This window comes from Homo sapiens, chromosome 4 (genome assembly GCF_000001405.40).
Source record: "Homo sapiens chromosome 4, GRCh38.p14 Primary Assembly".
In the NCBI taxonomy this organism is placed as follows: Eukaryota; Metazoa; Chordata; class Mammalia; order Primates; family Hominidae; genus Homo; species Homo sapiens.
In genome coordinates, this window is record NC_000004.12 from 3,474,891 (window position 1) to 3,491,299 (window position 16,409).

The window sequence follows — 16,409 nt, forward strand, 5'->3', positions numbered from 1 at the left end:
GACAGAGTGAGACCCTGTCTCAAAAAAACAAACACAAAAAAACTTGCTATTTTGATCAGCATGGACTCTGCATAACTTTACTTTTTAAAATATTGATTAAAATATCCTGGCCCTTGATGGCTGAGTTCTTTGGCCTTGGAGGTGAGTGTCCCGCTCCCCCAGTCTTGTCCCCAAGGCAGCAGCCCCTCCTGCTCCATTGAGTGGGGAGAGAGAAGCTGGGGGCTTAGTGGGAGGAGGTGCGGTTGGCTCTGCAGGAGGGCGCAGGGGAAGGAGACATTAGGAGGGAAGAACTGCATCTTTCCAGAAAGTTCTCCCGTTGGGGGTTCCCTCCAGCCTGGCTCAGCGGCATGGGTCTGCTTCCTTCATCCGCTGGCGCAGGGCCATGGCACAGAGGCCGCTGGGCACCGCCCAGGCAGCTTCATCTTGATAGAACGTGGCCTGACAAGGATGCGCCTGAGGCCACAGCTTGGAGCAGGTAGAGGAGGCAGAGAAGGGGGAGGTGGGATGGGAACAGGGGTCCCTTTGGCTCTGGGGGTTGGAGATGGAGCAGGTGGGGCCCCTGGTGGGGAGGCTGCTGTCTGCCTGGTGTGCTGACCTGGGAAGACAGGGGAGGTGGGGACAGCATTCAGGACCACTGTCCTCTCTGAGGCTTTCAGGGGCAGGGGCCTGGGCAGAGCCAGTGCACAGGACCATGGGGGTGCTCAGGGTTTGGGTGAATGGCCACCTGGATGGAGAGAGGGCCGGTGGTGCCCTGAGGTTCCCGTGGCCAGGCTGGGGCCTCGATACAGACTCCAGACTCTCCACACCCGAACTGGAGGCTGGGGGATCCCTGAGCCTCGGTTTCCCCTTCTGTGATGGAGCCACACAGCTGTGGAGAGAGAGCCTTCCTGGAGAGGTGCCGGGGGTGGGAGCCCAGCCAGGGCACTCAGCTGCCCTGTCCTCCCTAGCACCTCCGTGGTGGGAGGGGAGGGAGGTGGAGGTCCGAGGTCAGGCCCCTCTGGGACTTCCTTGCCCCTGAACAAAGATAGTTCCTGGGAGGATGGCAAGGAGAGAAGTGCAGCCCCCAGGCCCCCTCGTGGCTGTGAGGAGTGCCATTTGCTCATCCTGCCGTCGCTGCCTCCCCGGCTGACACCTGGGCGGCTGCCCCCACCTGCCCCAGCCTGGCCCCTGCCCCTGCTGCCTCCTCCCGAGATGCCCTCTCACCCCACCTGTCCACAGTGGCCCCTGTTGCCTCCTCTCATGATGCCCTCTCGCCCCGCCTGACCGTGATGCCCTCTCGCCCCGCCCACCCTCGATGCCCTCTCACCTCACCCGCCCATGATGCCCTCTCGCCCCGCCTGCCCGTGATGCCCTCTCACCCCACCCGCCCGTGATGCCCTCTCACCCCACCCGCCCGTGATGTCCTCTCACCCTGCCCGCCCGTGATGCCCTCTTGCCCCGCCTGCCCGCAGTGCATAGGTTCCATGTGACAGTGGCTCCAGGCACCAAGTTGGAGAGCGGCCCGGCTACCCTGCACCTCTGCAATGATGTCCTCGTCTTGGCCAGGGACATCCCCCCGGCTGTCACGGGGCAGTGGAAGCTGTCTGACCTCCGGCGCTACGGGGCCGTGCCAAGCGGATTCATCTTTGAAGGCGGGACCAGGTGTGGGTACTGTAAGTACGGATGTGTGGGGTCACTGGGCAGCAGCAGCACCCCCCACTTCCCCTGAGAACTGCTGGCTTCGGGCCGGCCGACCCCACTTGCAGGCTGGCCTGCTGGCATTTCCAGAATGCGCCGGCAGGTGGACGGAGTCTCCCCACGCTCGATGTCCAAGGTCCTCTGCCCGCAGGAACCTCAGTGTGGAGTGTCGAGGAGGGGCCTCGGCTACCTCTGCTCTTCCTCACTGGAGGGAGAGAGTTCAGGGATGCGAGGAGGGGCCTGAGGCCACAGAGCCTCAGAGCCGCTCATATCCAGATTTCATGGAAAGGAAAAAACAAAGAACAAACGCATTTAGCAGTGGGGAGTGTGAGCTCCCGCATAAGCACCGCAGAAACATATTCTTGGACCAAGAATTCCTGGTGGACATGCCAGCCACCCCGCCTGTGGGCCGCCCAGAGCTGCCCTAATGTCCCCAGTGAGGTGGCCAGGCCGTGGGTGGGGATGGCCTGAGTCCTCTGGGCCTGTGAAGGCCTGAGAGCTGTCCTCACTCAGCCAGGGGAGTGAGGGAAATCGGAGCAGGAAGGCACCCAGCCCTGCCCAGAGAGTCTGAGGTGCCCGCCGGGGCTGTGCAGGAGCAGGTTGTTCCAGCAACCCCCTCCACTTTCTCCCATGTTGGGTGCAGATGCGCCAGGTTGCCCTGTGGACCTGCAGTCCCCGCGGAGGGTGTGACGCCTCCTCTCTTCTCTCTGGAGGGGCAGCTGCTCATTGGCCGGGCTGAAGGCGGGCAGAGGGACCTCCTGTGGGCCTGGTTTGGGGCTGAGAGGACTGAGGGACTGCACTTGGCTCACACTGGTGGGGGCTCTGGTGGAGCCTGGATGTGTCTGGGTGGAGGAAACGCAGGCAAGGACACGGGCCACACTGGCCGCCTGGGACCTCATCCTGCAAAGGCCAGCTGGGGCACGGGCGCAAGCCCATCTGGGTGCCACGTTCTGCCACCTTCTGCGCTGGGCGCTGGGAGCAAACCCAGTAGGTCTTGTGGCAGGAGCCAGCCCTGTTGGGGCCTTTGAGGAGACGACATCTGACCCTTGAAAGGGGAACAGGGCAGTGAGGCTCAGGCTCCACGGACTGGGGGCGTACACAGCCAGCTGCAGGAGGCACGTGCGGCAGAGCTGGCCCGGAGTCTCGGCCCCTGGGGCTGGCAGGGGCCATAGCCAGAGTCCAAAGGGCCTTGGCCCCTCTGGGATTGGAGAGCCAGTATGGATGGGCAGGGCCGCTGCCTATGCCAGCTGTGAGCTGGTGCGGGGGGTGGGGTGGGGGGTGGTTCCCGGGAGAGCTAGGACACCTGTCGGGGTCCCATCTGCCCCCAGGCCCTCCCTGCGGCAGGCCAGAGGTTCAGTACTGGGGCTTCGGGAGCCACTGGGGAGTGGGTTGGCGGTGGCTGGGCACAGTGGGTGGGCCCAGCGTCCCTGTCCTTTGTCGTGTGGGAAGCCAGAGCTGCAGGCTGTAGTTGTCCTGACACAGGCAGCCTGTCCTGTCTGTTGTGTGCTAGGTTTGGGGGTGCCTGGAGGAGGGGGACCCATACCTTCCTTTCTGTCTGTGGAATTCCTTGGCACGGGCAGGCAGCCGGCCGGGGTGGCGCCGCGTGCTCACCCTCTAAGCCGGGGCACAGCAGGAGGACCCGTTTCCTTGGAGACCTGCTTATTTTGTCTGGGCCATAATGGAATGGGGACACTGGATGTTTTTCCTCTGAGGCCGTGGAGGTTCACATCCCTGCCGAGGTGTGGGTGGCCCCTTTTCCGCTGGTAAACAATCCCACACCTGGGGCTGTGCTTCTCCCCAGGGCGAGGCTACTGTGCCGTTTTCCTGGGCTGCTCAAAAGCTGGGGGCACTCTTGTGGGGCCGTCTGTCTTGCTGCTGCCTCTCCGGGGCAAGCTGTTAGAGCAGCCCCACCCGCAAACCTGCAAACCAGGCTGGCCCCACAGAACCTGAAAACCTGCAAACCGGGCTGGCCCCACAGAACCCACAAACCTGCAGACTGGGCTGGCCCCACAGAACCCGCAAACGGGGGCTGGCCCCACAGAACCCGCCTTTGCAGCTCAGTGCTGAATGTTCTCGTCCCCGGTGGTACCCTGGCCTGAGAGAGGAAGGGCTCTGGGAATTCGGTCACCGACGGCTGCACACCCCGTAGGGTAGGTGGGTTCTGGAGGCCAGGCTGGAAGGCTTGGCCGAGCCACCCATCCCTGTCCCCAGCAGGCCCTGCTGGGCTGTATCCTCCTGGAGACAGGCGTGGCCACCACCCTGGGTGGTTTAGGCTGGGTCTTAGACTCGGCCAAGCGGTGGTGTTCTCAACGCAGCACTGAGTGCAGGCCGTCTGGCTGGAGGGACGGGGAGTCTGCGGCACGTGTGGGCAGCCTGGGGCCTCCTGCGGGAGGGAGCCGGCAACTCGGGTGGTCCAGGGGCAGCGGCATCAGCTTCCTGGGGCTTCTGTAGCAGATGACCCCCAAGAGAGGGCCAAGTGTCCAGAACGGGTTCCTTCTGCAGCCTGGAGGCCAGAAACCCCAAATCAAGGGGTCCTCAGGGTTGGCTTTTTCCAAAAGCTCTTGGGGAGGACCCATGGGAAGGTCCTTCCTGCCCCTTCCAGCCGCTGGTGGCCCCGGCGGCCTCGGCTCGTGGCTGTGCCACTCCAGTCCCTGCGCCTGCTGGCTCCTGCGTGAGCCTCCTCTTCAGTCTCTTGCAGTCTGTGGACTTAGGGCCCACCTGGATGACCCAGGGTGACCCCATCCCGAGACCATCAATTCCATCCGCAGAGGCTCCTGTTCACAGGCCCTGGTATGTGAACACATTTTGTGGGCCACCATTTGGCCGACAACTGGGGCCACTGGGACGGAGAAATATCCAGAATCTGAATCCCAATAAGTCTGTGGGTGTCGTCACATTCAGTCTGGAGGTCACAGCTGGGCTGGAGTCGTGGGAAGGCCCTGGAAGTTCTTGGGTGTAGGAAATCCACATTCCCTCCTTCCCCAGGGACAGGTCCTAGCCTGGCCCCCGATCCCCAGAACCGCCTCACTTGGCCCCGCCACAGCCAGCTCTGCAGAGAGCAGAGAGGGTGACCCTGGCCCAAGGCGATGGCTGCGCCTCACTCATCCTGAGACACTGGGCGTGGCTGTGCATCACGGGGGCCCTGGTGGGGGTCGGGTGGAGACAGGCCTGGCTGGTCTTGGTGCCTGGGGGGCAGAGGTCTCTCTGTGGACAGCTGCCTGTTCAGAATGGGACAGGAGGTGGCTTGGTGACAGCAACCCCCGGGTCCCCAGTGTGGCCCAATTCCCCGTCTCTGTTGGTCACGGGCCTGTAGTGTGGACTCCTGGAGCTTGGCCCGAGCGCACTTGGCACATGGCAGGCGACGGTCTGTGGACAGCTCAGGTCTGCAGGCTCCAGCCTCACACACGGGCAAGTGACTGGGCCCCGCCTTCGGGGATGGACTGTGCGTGGTGGAGAGTGATGCAGAGAGGGCCACTCGCCCTGGGACAGGCTCAGCTTGCAGCACAGACGGTGGTGGGCCCCAGAGAGGGTGAGCCCACCCAGAGCCTAGGAAGGGAGGGCTTTGGAGGCGCAGGGGGACGTTTGAGCTGGGCCTTGAGGGTGAATGGAAGCTTTTGGAGGTGCCCCCTTTTTCCCCCCTTACCTGCTCTCTCCAGCTGGGTCCAGTCCAAGGACCATATCTGCCTCTTTGCCCAGCCTCTGGGGGCCGCCCGGAGCATTTGAAACTCATTTTGACTTTTAAAAATGATTAAGAATGTGGCCAGGCACAGTGGCTCATGTCTGTAATCCCAGCACTTTGGGAGGCGGAGGTGGGAGGATCACCTGAGGTCAGGAGTTCGAGATCAGCCTGGTCAACATGGTGAAACCCCATCTCTACTAAAAATACAAAAATTAGGCAGGTGTGGTAGCAGGTGCCTGTAATCCCAGCTACTCCAGAGGCTGAGGTGGGAAAATCACTTGAACCTGGGAGTTGGAGGTTGCAGTGAGCTGAGATCCCGCCATTGCAGTCCAGCCAAGGCAACAGAGCCAGGCTCTGTCTCAAAAAAAGAAGAGTAAAGAATGAAAACCTGAACTAGGAGGCTCTTGCTACATGAACGCGGCATCTGCCCAGCTCTGGAGAGCCCCCTGCCGGCCACCTTTGGCCACTGCAGCCTGCGGGGGCAGCCTGGACAGAGCTGGCTGGAACCCTGGCCTCTGTCAGGCAGCAGGGAGCGCCTTCAGCAGTTTCTCATTGCCGGGCGCTGGGCCTAGGGATCAGACGGTCCGGCCTCAGAGGCTGCGTGAGACTGAGTGAGGCATTTTCAGTCCTCAGAGGGTGCGAGGGGAGCCAGGAGGGGCACAGACCCCAGGCTGGGGGCACTGCGGGGAAGCTCTCTGGAGGGGCGAGCCTCAGGGGACTTCTGCAGGGTGAATAGGAGTTAGCTCAGCTGTCAGAGGGTAAGGGGTGGAGGGGGGTGAAAAGGGCACTTCAGACATCTTTGAGCACGAATGGGTGTCCCGAAGGGCTGTGTAGGAGCCCTGTTGGGGGGGATAGGAGGCGTGAGGGTGGAGGAGGAGGAGGAGACAGGGCTGGGTTGTAGAGAGCTGGCTAATTGGACCAGTGTTTGTTTGCACCATTGTCTCGGAGCAGCAGGGAGCCATTGAAGGTGCTTGAGCATGGGGAGTGTTTTATATGCTAATGTTGACCCCGGGGTGCAGATGAGCTTGGAGGAAGAGGCTGGCAGGGGCCAGAGAAGGTTCTGATTGAGGTCCAGAAGATGGAGGGCGAGGCTGCCCCAGGCAGCAGCTGCCTGGTTGGGGGATGGGAACCCTGTGGATTGCAGGAATGTTAACAAGGTGGTGATGGACAAGGGGAGGAGGGCCGGCCCGGGAAGGGGGGGCCTTCTAGAGTGGTGCCCCTGGACTGGGGCTGCTTCAGGAGGGCAGAGGAGGGGTGGGAGCCAACACCCACTGCCAGGCTCCAGGCCTTCCTCCACCCGAGACCCACTAGGTGGGGCCACTCCCAAGTGTACAAGAAGCTGCCACCTTGGGGGATGGAGAGGGCTGAGGGTCATGTTATCAAGACTTCTCAGTCCTGCCCATGCCTACCTGGCATGAGCCATCCAGGACACCCTGGTCACCCCGATGTTTGTTCTCTGAGGAGCTGGGATTATGAGCACTTAAGATTCTGACATCAAGGGGCAGCCACGAGGGCACTCAAGAATATTCAGATGGAAACCATCTTAGATCTAATTGGCTCATTAAATGTCTGCGTGGAGGAGCATTTTCTTTCTCAAGCCGGTGAGTCCTGGAGTTAGTGCAACAGCTTTTTCACTGGAGACGTGTTTCTCAGGAAGCAGGTGCGTCTGTAACGTGGGTGAGGTTTGCCTGCCGCTCAGCAACCCCAGCCTCTGTCCAGAGTTGGCGCCGCCCTGAGCCCCGCAGCTCCTGGCCTTCTGCTTGTGTTCTGCTGACTCTGTCCTGCTTCTCTGCGTCTTCCATGCTCTTTCCTCTTACCCTCACGCCTCCTATCCCCCACAACAGGGCTCCTATACAGCCCTTTGGGACACCCGTTTGTGCTCAAAGATGTCTGACGTGCCCTTTTCACCCCCCTCCACCGCTTACCCTCTAACAGCTGAGCTAACTCCTATTTACCCTGCCACACCTAGCGGCTGGCGGCTGTTCCCTGGCTGGCAATTCTGTGGGCCAGGGATCTGGACGGGGCTCAGTGAGGACAGCTCATCTCTGCCCCATGAGGTGCTGCCTGGGGTCCCTCGGGCAGTGGCATTTGGCTATGGTGGGGCCCAAAGGCCCAGGAAAGCACTGTGCCGGCTGTTGGCTGGGTTGCCTCAGTTTCCCTCCAGGAACCTCACCCTCCGATAGGACACCTTGGGCTTCTCAATAGGTTCCAAGAGAGCAGAAGCTGCCAGGCCTCTGACGGTCTTGGGGCAGGGCTGGGAGAGCATCCCTCATGCCACTTTATGCCAGAGCCATCACTGGCTGGCTTCGATTCCAGGGAGGGAGTGGACCAGCCTCTGGAGAAGGAGCGGCCTCTGAGGGCAGGGATAGGGGAAACAGAGTGGCCGGCTTTGCTGCAGTCACACCTGTGTGATATAGCAAAATGGGGCAGGCCCTGTTCTCCCCCCTTTCCCCAAACACACAGGCAAACAGGAAACATGCGCACCCTGTCTTGGGGAAGGGGCAGGGGGGCGGTCAGCAGCCTCTCACCTATGTCTTTCCACCCAAGGCCGAGCACTGGGGGTCTCCTGGTTATGGGCGCTTGGGTGGACACTGAGACCACAGACGGCTTGTGCTCCCTGCCGGCAAGGTGCTCAGCCTGGCAGCCGGGACGGCAGCAGGTGGGGCTGAACCCCAGAGGAGGCGTCCGTGAGAGCACCACAGAGGGGCTGTCGGGGTCAGGGGACTGAAGGGGGCCAGAGGCCAAGAAAAGCATCATGAAAGGTGTCGTTATGTGGCCTGAGTCTGGAAAGGTCTGGGGTGTTCTAGGTGGCCAGGGGTGTGGAGGGTGGGGGTGGCAGCCTCCTGAGTGGAGATGTAGGGGTGTGGAGGGTGGGGACGGCAGCCTCCTGAGTGGAGATGTAGGGGTGTGGAGGGTGGGGACGGCAGCCTCCTGAGTGGAGATGTAGGGGTGTGGAGGGTGGGGACGGCAGCCTCCTGAGTGGAGATGTAGGGGTGTGGAGGGTGGGGACGGCAGCCTCCTGAGTGGAGATGGCAGGCAGACCTGGTGTGCAGAGGGAGCTTTGAGCATTCCCAAGACCGGGGGGGGCTGGGTGGGAGCGGGGGTGGAGCATGAACCCAGGGAGGCCCAGCGAGAGCCTAGTCGTGCGGTGTCCTGGGAGGCCATGGCCCAAGACCTTGGCAGACCAGCATTGGAGATGGGCATCTTCCTCCAGGGCCACTGATGTCAGCTCTGCTGGCATGGATGATGGGGGTGGCTGGCGAGGGTGTCGCGTGGGCACGTGGGAGCCCGAGGCTGGCGGTGGGCTGTGCTCCAGGCCTTGCCCGGTTGACCGTGTCTTCGGGGTGAGTGACGCTCCGCAGACGCCGCATGGAATGCGGGGCCGGCTCCACTCCTTCCGTAATGTGGTTTTTTATAGTCGGGGGACTCATTGTCCCGTGGCCACTGCCAGCTGTCTGTAAGCTCAGGATTAGAGAGCCTGGCCTTTCGTGAGAGCTGGGGCTGTGCCGGCTGAGCCCTTCACAGGGAGGGGTGGACCACGGGGACAGGGAGCGACTGCCTGGCACTGAGTGAGCCAGCCAGCAGACAGCATGACGGCCTTCTCCTTGCCTGCCCCCAGGGCCTGGTGCAGGCTCTCTTCTGCCCACCCTACCCAGCTTGGGGGCCCCACCCCATCACGGCCCTCATGAGCCTCTCGGGGCATCCTCCTGGATGGCATCGCAGCGGGCATTGGCCTCCCCTCCATGCCCACCTCCAATTCTGATCAGGAGCACCCCTCACCCACAGTAGGACTGGAAGCTCTATCGGGCCAGAAGGTGCACAGGGGGCCAGGGGACTTGGACTTGAGTCCACCTCGTGGCTGTGTGATGGTGGACAGGTGGCGTGCCTTCTCTGGGCCTCAGTGTCCTTTTTGCTAAAGTAGGAATGGCGCTGTCCCATGACCCGGTTTGGGGACACTACGTGGAAGGAAGCATCCACAGCACAAGGTGCCGCTCGCCCTCGTGTGCCCGGGGTGGCTGCCAAGGGGCCGGCAGCGTCGCCACGTGTCGGGGCTGGCCTGAGTTCCGTGTCCCTGGAATCTACAGCCTGTGTTCCGTGAAGGCAGAGCATGACTGGGCAGCAGGCAGCGGGGGTTCTAATGCCGAGATTTCCCTTCCCCCCAACTCCTGCCCACCCCGGCGCCTTCCCTCCTGCGTACCTTTCTTTGGGCAATGGGCAGAGGCCCCGGAGCGGGCGGGATTCCTGTGAGGTGACGCCAGCCGGAGTGTCCAGCCGGGTGCAGCCAGCCCAGTGGCCCATTCACGCGGCCGCCAGGGCTTCATTCACCCCTGGCCGGGAGGGCAGCGCCCCCGTGACTCGCAGCTGGGGCTTCTCCACGGGTGGCGGCTGCATCGCTCTGCCAGTGACGCTGGGCTGGTCCCTGGGGGCCCTCCTGCTGCTGTGGGGGTGCAGGGGTGGATGCTGGCCCCAGGATGCTGCACACGGCCTCAGGGCAGCACCCACACACTGGCAGCTCCAGCTTCCCCTGAAAGATGACCGAGGAGGTGGGGAGGACGCGGTGCTGGCCAGCAGTGACGGCTGCAGCATGTGTGGGCAGGTGCCGTGCCACACCTTTTACAAACATCTGAATGCAGCCCTCCCAACAGCCCGGGGGAAGGAAGTGTGGTCACATGGCAGCCTTCCTGGGATGTGACCCCAGCTCCAGGTGGCACAGCTCCCTTCTCCTGTGGCCTTGGAGCCCTGAGGGGACCCTACTTGATGTCTCTGGGGTCTCCTGGCTGCTTCATTTGCCCTCAAGACGGCTGTGGGGGCAGGGTCGCTGGGACCTTGGGGCAGAGGAGGGACTGATCAAGTGCCTGCTGGGTGGCAGAGCAGCCACATCCCCCCATCCCCCCAAGCAAGCCCGGAAGGCAGGTATGTGGGCGGGGGCACCCATCTGTCCAGGGCAGGGCACCCCCTCCCTCCTCCCCATGCCCTGTCGGCTGCAGGACCTAGGATGGGCGGGGCAGCACTCACCCCAGCGCCCAAGTTTGAAGGGTGCGGCGGGGTCCCTGGGGAGTCCAGAGGCTCTGGGGACCCAGCTTCACAGAGCCAGGTGGGGTGTCGGCTCTGGGCACCCGGATTCACGGGGCCAGGCGGGGTGTCGGCTCTGGGCATCTGACTTCGTGGGGCCAGGCAGGGTGTCATTGTCGGCTCTTGGTGGAGTTTGCTGCGGTTTCCTGTGTTCCTCCTCTTCAGGGTCCCCAGCCCGCCCTCGGGCCAGACTGACCTGTCTCTGTCCTTCCTCTGCAGGGGCTGGCGTCTTCTTCCTGTCCTCGGCCGAGGGGGAGCAGATCAGCTTCCTGTTCGACTGCATCGTCCGAGGCATCTCCCCCACCAAGGGCCCCTTTGGGCTGCGGCCGGTTCTACCAGGTGCGTGTGGGAGCCTGGCCGGCCGGGGAGGGTGCGCTCGGCAGGCTGTGCGACGTCCCGGGGCGGGGGGCCACAGTGATTTGTCAGCCCCAGTTAGATGGCCAGCCTCCCCACCCCCAGCTAAGGAACCAGAACCTTTCCAGGCCAGGATTGCAGCCTGGGCTTCTGCAAGCCCTGCTGAGGGATTCAGAGCAGCGGGGGCTGGGCTCGTACCTGCAGGTGCTCTCCCTCGGGGGTCCGAGCTGTTGGAACGCTTGGCCCTAGAGCTTTCTGGCTGGGACAGTCAGCCACAGCTGCCACTGTGCAGTAAGAGACCCTCTGACCCACCACCACCATCTTCCACGCCCAGGAGCAGGGAAGGCCTTGCCCGAGCTCGGTGGCCCGGGGGCAGCTGGTCTGACTCTGCAGCTGGGGTCGGGACTGGCTCTGCCTGAGCCCGGTGTTTAGGCCCAAGGCCACCTCGGGAGGTCCCCTGGCTGTGGGGTCTCAGGACACGTTGGGCTGAGGGGGTCTCGTCTTGTCTCACCCACACTTCCTTGGCTGTGGCTGCGGCACTCTCTGCAGGAGTCCTTGGCCAGGGATGTTGCTGGACCCCAGAGGGGCTCTGGTGCCTGGGCACGGTGGGGCTCCCCAGGTCGGGGCGGGTGCTGGGCCAGGTGCCTCCATGGGCTCTCTCAAATGCTCCTCTTGCTCCACGAGGGCAGCGCTTGACCCAACGTCCAAGTGAGGCCAAGGCCTAGGCCATGTGGCGGGTGAGCAGCAAGCTCACATGTGGCGCCTCCTGGCACTGGCACCCCCGCCGTGGTGTGGCGGGGAAGGGTGACTGGGAGGGCAGAGGCGAGCAGCATGTGGGGTGGGACCTGGGCCTCCCTTCTCCTGGCCACAGCCCCCAATGCCCCCTGCCCACACCAGCAAAGTCCCGTTGGGGGCAGCCCTGGGAGTGGGGAGGTGGCACCTATGGCCAGCGCCCTCCCCGCTGCCCTGCCATGCTGGATGGTGCAGCTGCACCCCTGTAGGTGTCTTCCTGCCTAGTGGATGCACCCCTGCAGGTGTCTTCCTGCCTAGTGGATGCACCCCTGCAGGTGTCTTCCTGCCTAGCGGCTGCAGGCAGGTGTGGATGGTGTGGTCAGCGTGGATGATGTGGTCGGTGTGTTTGGCTGTGCAAGGCGAGGGTGTGCAGAGTGCAGGGCGGGGACAGGGCCGGGCAGGGGCAGCAGGAGGCTGAGCAGGGCTCCCTGCTCTCTCCTGCTCCCCTCAGGCAGTTCCCGGGGAGCAGAGGGAAGCAGGGAAGCAGTACTGGGCAGAGGATGCCAGGGAGGGTTTGCCTGGGACAGCCACTAGATGGGACAGGCTCCACCGCAGGCAGCACGTGGGCCAGCCCCAGGCGGGGCCATTGCTGACAGCTGGAGGGGGTTGGGCTGACCAGAAGTCCCAGACCCCACTCCACAGGACATCTTTGTCAGAGTCAGCTGGGAGCTCTCAGAAAGCTCTGTTGTCAGGGCCTCGGCCTGCAGCTGTGCCCCCAAGCTGTGCCTCTGCAGGTGTGTGGGGGCCTCAGGCCACCCGGAGGTGGGTTGAGCTGGGACACTATGCTGGGCAGCACCCCACCAGAGAAGCCGTGGGCCCAGCCCCCGCAGGCTGGACTTACTGGAGGGTCTGGGCTGATGGGTTCGTCTGCCTGTGCTGGCAGCACACTGGAGCCCCGTGATCACAGGACTCCCACAATAGAGCCCTGCGGGCGGCATCCTCAAGCTCTGGGCTTTCTGCCGTCCTCCTGTGCTGAGCCCGCTGTGACCCACTGGAGGGGCCAAGAGATGCAGGAAGTCCAGCCCCTTGGTCTTCCGCATGTGGACACCGAGTCCCAGAGGCAGCCAGACCCACCAGGAGCAGGAGGGAAGGGCTCAGAGGTCTGGGGTCCACCATGCTCCGAGTATGGCGTGCATGTTACCTTCTTGGCCTGGCCTCCACGGGGGTGCACCGTTGCTGCACCCCATTTTGCAGACGAGGGTGAGAGGCTCAGGGGGCGTGTGGTGGAGCTGGGAGTCGATCCGTGTCTTGCTGGCCCACCAGTTACTGGACGGGAAATGGTGGGAGGTTGTGTCCTGCATCCTGACCCTGGTGTCACCGAGGGGCCACTCTCCGTCCCACCTGTGGGGCATTGGCTTTGAGGGTGGCCCTGGTCGGAATGTCCCAGGGCTGAGGGGCAGTTGTGCTGTCCTGTCACTGTGCTTGTCTTCAGCCTGGACCCTCAGTGCACCAAGGAGCCAGGACTGGTGCCTGCTGTCCTGCCCACGTGGCTGAATGTGTCTGTGAAAGTGCCAGGAGCTGCTAAGCCGTGTGGCCTGTGGGCTCCATGGCCACCAGCAGGCCGTGTCGGGAGGGACTGATGCCTGAGCTGGCACAGCCTTGGCTGCCATCGCCTTCCACCCTCCCAGGCACAGGCAGGGAGGGGACAGGAGAGAGGCTTGTGCCACCCCCATCCCTGTCCCCGGCAATGCTACAGACAGGGCCACAGGGTCTTGGGCTGGCAGGGCCCCAGGCTGACCGGGGCAGTGCCTTGGGGTGGCCATACCCAGAGGTGGGGGAGGCTCCTCCAGGCCCTTCTTGTGTTCCTGGGCCCGGTGCTGTGAGCTCTCACCTGCCCGTGGGGAGGGCCCTGTTCTGAGGTCCTGATGGGGTCTCCTGTAGTGAGCAAGGGCCCCAGCTGGGCACCTGTGTGGGCTGAAGGCATCAGCAGAGGACAGTGTCCTATCAGGGACAGGGCCTCTTCAGCCTAGATGTGAACCTGGACAGGGACACCATTGCTTTCTCTGTTTGTTTCTCCGGAGCGCTGACCATGGGGTCGGGACGTCTGGCTCCAGCCTCCGCCAGGCTGGGTTCTGTCCGCTGAGGCTCTGATCTAGGTGTCCCAGGCTGGGGACTGTACCTTCTGGTCCTCTGTGCGCTGCAGAATTTGGTGTAAACTTTTCATGCTGCCACTGCTCCTGGACTTTGGGGAGAGCAGGTCCTTGGACCTGTTTCGGCTCAGTCCTGCAGGTGCCCCCAAGGTGGGTGTCAGGAGGTGTGTTCTGGAGGCCCAGAGGAGGCCACTTGGAGCAGGACGGGGTCGGTTTGCTCTTGCGGGTGTGGCTGTGGCTTCCCTGCCAGGGAAACTCTTTGGGATGGCTGTGGCCGTGGGTGCTGTGGATGTGGAAGGGGCAGGGTCTTGAGCCCTGCTGTTTGGAGCAAGGTAGCCACTTGGCCCAGTGTTCACATCACTTAGTGCCTGGGACATCCCAGCATGGGCGGGGGCTTGGGGACCAGGGCAGTGATGCTGAGGCTCGCAGCAGCGGTGCTGAGGGGCCAGTGAGAGGTCCCACCCTGCCTGGGCAGGAAGGGGAGGTTTCCTGCCACTCAGTCGCAGAGGACACATGGACGATGAATAGAGAAGGCGAGGCTGGTGCTCCCTGGATGCAGCCCTGAGGGGAGGGGCTAGGTGGGGCCGAGGGTCCGCAGACCACCATGCTCTGAGCCTTGGGCACAGTATGAGTCTCCATCCGAGACCCCAGGGAACGGTGGGGACACTGCAAGGTGGGCGGGCATTTCCCCAGGTGGAGGGGAGCCTGTGAGAAATGGGCACCGTGAATGAGGGGCAGGCAGCCCCTCTTGCAGCGAGGCCGGCCCTGGGGATGGGGGAGGGGCTGGTCATTTTTTGGAACAGAAAATTGAAAAACTCGGTGGTGAGGAAGATGAGGAAGGAGGGGTCTGGCCGGCGTGGGGTCCTGGTGAGTGGGCAGGTGGCAGGGCCATCCACGGGCACAGGGACCCAGCTGGGCGCATGGTGGCCTGGATAGGGGTGGTGTGGGTGTCTGCGTTTGAGGGCCAGCCTCTGGGATGAGGCATCGGGAGGAGCGGGGACTCCCAGGGGACTGCCACTCCACAGAGGGGGATAACCACTGAGTCAGGCTGGGCCTGGTGCCTGCGGGCGAGGGTGGGCGGTGGTGGCCACCTCCTCCACCGAGTCTTCTCTCTGCCACAGACCCAAGTCCCCCGGGACCCTCGACTGTGGAGGAGCGTGTGGCCCAGGAAGCCCTGGAAACCCTACAGCTGGAGAAGCGGCTGAGCCTCCTCTCACATGCGGGCAGGCCGGGCAGTGGAGGTAGGGCCGGGGGCTGACCTGGGCTGTGGGACCTCGGCTAAGCCTCCAGCAGGAGAGCTCAGGAGGCATCCATGCATGTGTGGGGGCTGCAGGCTCCCTCTGCTCATTCATTCATTCCTTCTGTCTCCTGCTCATTCATTCTTCCCCCAACTCCCCGCCCCGCCCGCTACTCATTCATCCTTCCTTCCCCACCACCCTGCTCATTCCTTCCTTCTCCTCCTGCTCATTCATTCCTTCCTTCTTCCTCCTACTCATTAATTCCTTCCTCCCCCCATTCCTTTCTTCACCCCCTCATTCATTCCTTTCTTCACCCCCATTCATTCCTTTTCTCCCTGCTCATTCATTCCTTCCTTCCCCACCCTGCTCATTCATTTCTTCCTCCGCCCCCCCCACTCATTCCTTCCCCCCTCATTCATTCCTGTCTTCACCCCCTCATTCATTCCTTCCTTTTCTCCCTGCTCATTCATTCCTTCCTTCCCCACCTTGCTCATTCATTTCTTCCTCCGCCCCCCCGGCTCATTCTTGCCTTACCTCCATTCATTCCTTCCTTTTCCCCACACTCATTCATTCCTTCCTTCCCCCCACCCCCTGCTCATTCAGTCCTTCTTTCACCCCCCCCACCGCCCCGCTCATTCATTCCTTCATTTCTCTCCTGCTCATTCATTCCTTTCTTCTCCCTCTGCTCATTCATTCCTTCCTTTTCCCCCTGCTCATTCTTTCCTTCACCCCCCCGCTCATTCGTTCCTTCCTTCTCCCCCTGCTCATTCGTTTTTTCCTTCTCTCTCTGCTCATTCCTTCATTTCTTCTCTCCCTGCTCGTTCATTCCTTCCCTCTCCGCCTGCTCGTTCATTTCCCTCCTGCTCATTCATTCCTCCCTTCCCCGCATTCCTTCCTTCCTTCCCCCCTCATGCATTCCTTCATTTCCCCCCACTCATTCCTTCCTTCCTTCTTCCTCCTGCTCATTCCTTCTTTCCTTCTCCCCCGGCTCATTCATTCCTTCCTCTGCCCCCCCGCTCATTCATTCCTGCCTTCCCCCCATTCATTCCTTCCTTCCCCCCCACTCATTTCATTCCTTCATTACCCTCCTGCTCATTAATTTCTTCCTTCTCTCCTCTGCTCATTCATTCCTTCCTTCTTCCCCTGCTCATTCATTCCTTCTCCCCCTGCTCATTTCTTCATTTCCCTCCTGCTCATTCATTCCTTCCTTCTTCTTCCTGCTCATTCATTCCTTCCTTCCCCCCCATTCCTTCCTTTCTTTTCCCCCGGCTCATTCCTTCCTTCTCCCCACTCCTGCTCATTAATTCCTTCCCTCTCCCCCTGCTCGTTCATTCGTTTCTCCCTTCCCCCCATTCCTTCCTTCCTTCTTCCTCCTGCTCATTCATTCCTTCCCCCCTGCTCATTCCTTCCCCCCTGCTCATTCCTTCCTTCTCCCGCTGCTCTTTCATTCCTTCTCCCCTTGCTCATTCATTCCTTCATTCATTCCTTCCTCCGCCCCCCCGCTCA

At 62.5% G+C, this 16,409-nt stretch overlaps 2 protein-coding genes across 12 annotated transcripts in view, besides 6 other annotated features; one reads left to right on the forward strand and one right to left on the reverse strand.

Moving 5' to 3' along the window:
• The window catches only part of DOK7 (docking protein 7), a 38,177-nt gene that overhangs the window by 11,585 nt on the left and 10,183 nt on the right, over nt 1–16,409 (forward strand). For 3 of the 10 annotated variants that reach the window (NM_001301071.2, XM_011513435.3, NM_173660.5), the window contains exons 4-6: nt 1,452–1,652; nt 10,649–10,768; nt 14,787–14,906. In NM_001301071.2, the coding sequence (NP_001288000.1) occupies nt 1,452–1,652; nt 10,649–10,768; nt 14,787–14,906 (441 nt within the window). Of the gene's footprint in view, nt 1–1,451; nt 1,653–9,638; nt 10,271–10,418; nt 10,452–10,648; nt 10,769–14,786; nt 14,907–16,409 lie in introns of those variants that run through there. The other 7 variants (XM_047450080.1, XM_047450081.1, NM_001164673.2 and 4 more) reach the window with 6 other exon arrangements.
• Nucleotides 50–9,947, reverse strand: LOC105374355 (vegetative cell wall protein gp1-like). Of its 2 annotated transcripts, none has more exons than XR_007057994.1 (3): nt 9,555–9,947; nt 1,411–1,882; nt 50–868 (listed from the first exon to the last, which is right to left on the reverse strand). XR_007057994.1 is itself a non-coding variant. In XM_047416482.1 (3 exons), exon 1 carries the CDS (start codon nt 8,558–8,560, stop codon nt 7,526–7,528), a length of 1,035 nt encoding a protein of 344 aa, XP_047272438.1. In that variant the 5' UTR covers nt 8,561–9,017; the 3' UTR covers nt 50–595; nt 725–868; nt 1,411–7,525. The 2 variants fall into 2 exon arrangements, 1 of the variants encoding a protein (XP_047272438.1); XM_047416482.1 differs by lacking the exon at nt 9,555–9,947 and having other exon boundaries at nt 50–595; nt 725–868; nt 1,411–9,017.
• Nucleotides 5,050–5,641: an enhancer, noted in NCBI's record as "H3K4me1 hESC enhancer chr4:3481667-3482258 (GRCh37/hg19 assembly coordinates)". NCBI's record gives its function as "activates a minimal SCP1, AML or CMV promoter by ChIP-STARR-seq in naive H9 embryonic stem cells {active_cell/tissue: H9 hESC(naive)}" and the evidence as "EXISTENCE:reporter gene assay evidence [ECO:0000049][PMID:30033119]".
• Nucleotides 5,861–6,828: an enhancer, noted in NCBI's record as "NANOG-H3K4me1 hESC enhancer chr4:3482478-3483445 (GRCh37/hg19 assembly coordinates)". NCBI's record gives its function as "activates a minimal SCP1, AML or CMV promoter by ChIP-STARR-seq in primed H9 embryonic stem cells {active_cell/tissue: H9 hESC(primed)}" and the evidence as "EXISTENCE:reporter gene assay evidence [ECO:0000049][PMID:30033119]".
• Nucleotides 6,829–7,795: an enhancer, noted in NCBI's record as "H3K4me1 hESC enhancer chr4:3483446-3484412 (GRCh37/hg19 assembly coordinates)". NCBI's record gives its function as "activates a minimal SCP1, AML or CMV promoter by ChIP-STARR-seq in naive H9 embryonic stem cells {active_cell/tissue: H9 hESC(naive)}" and the evidence as "EXISTENCE:reporter gene assay evidence [ECO:0000049][PMID:30033119]".
• Nucleotides 9,498–10,697: an enhancer, noted in NCBI's record as "CDK7 strongly-dependent group 2 enhancer chr4:3486115-3487314 (GRCh37/hg19 assembly coordinates)". NCBI's record gives its function as "activates an origin of replication core promoter dependent on BRD2, BRD4, P300/CBP, MED14 and CDK7 cofactors, with strong dependence on CDK7, by STARR-seq in HCT116 cells {active_cell/tissue: HCT116}" and the evidence as "EXISTENCE:reporter gene assay evidence [ECO:0000049][PMID:35650434]".
• Nucleotides 10,699–11,665: an enhancer, noted in NCBI's record as "H3K27ac-H3K4me1 hESC enhancer chr4:3487316-3488282 (GRCh37/hg19 assembly coordinates)". NCBI's record gives its function as "activates a minimal SCP1, AML or CMV promoter by ChIP-STARR-seq in naive H9 embryonic stem cells {active_cell/tissue: H9 hESC(naive)}" and the evidence as "EXISTENCE:reporter gene assay evidence [ECO:0000049][PMID:30033119]".
• Nucleotides 14,822–14,931: a silencer, noted in NCBI's record as "silent region_15206". NCBI's record gives its function as "represses an Ori minimal core promoter by ATAC-STARR-seq in GM12878 lymphoblastoid cells {active_cell/tissue: GM12878}" and the evidence as "EXISTENCE:reporter gene assay evidence [ECO:0000049][PMID:35858748]".

What these genes read in the sequence shown, in the direction of transcription:
- LOC105374355 (XM_047416482.1), bottom strand. Translation starts at nt 8,560, where the DNA reads ATGCCCATCTCCAATGCTGGTCTGCCAAGGTCTTGGGCCATGGCCTCC.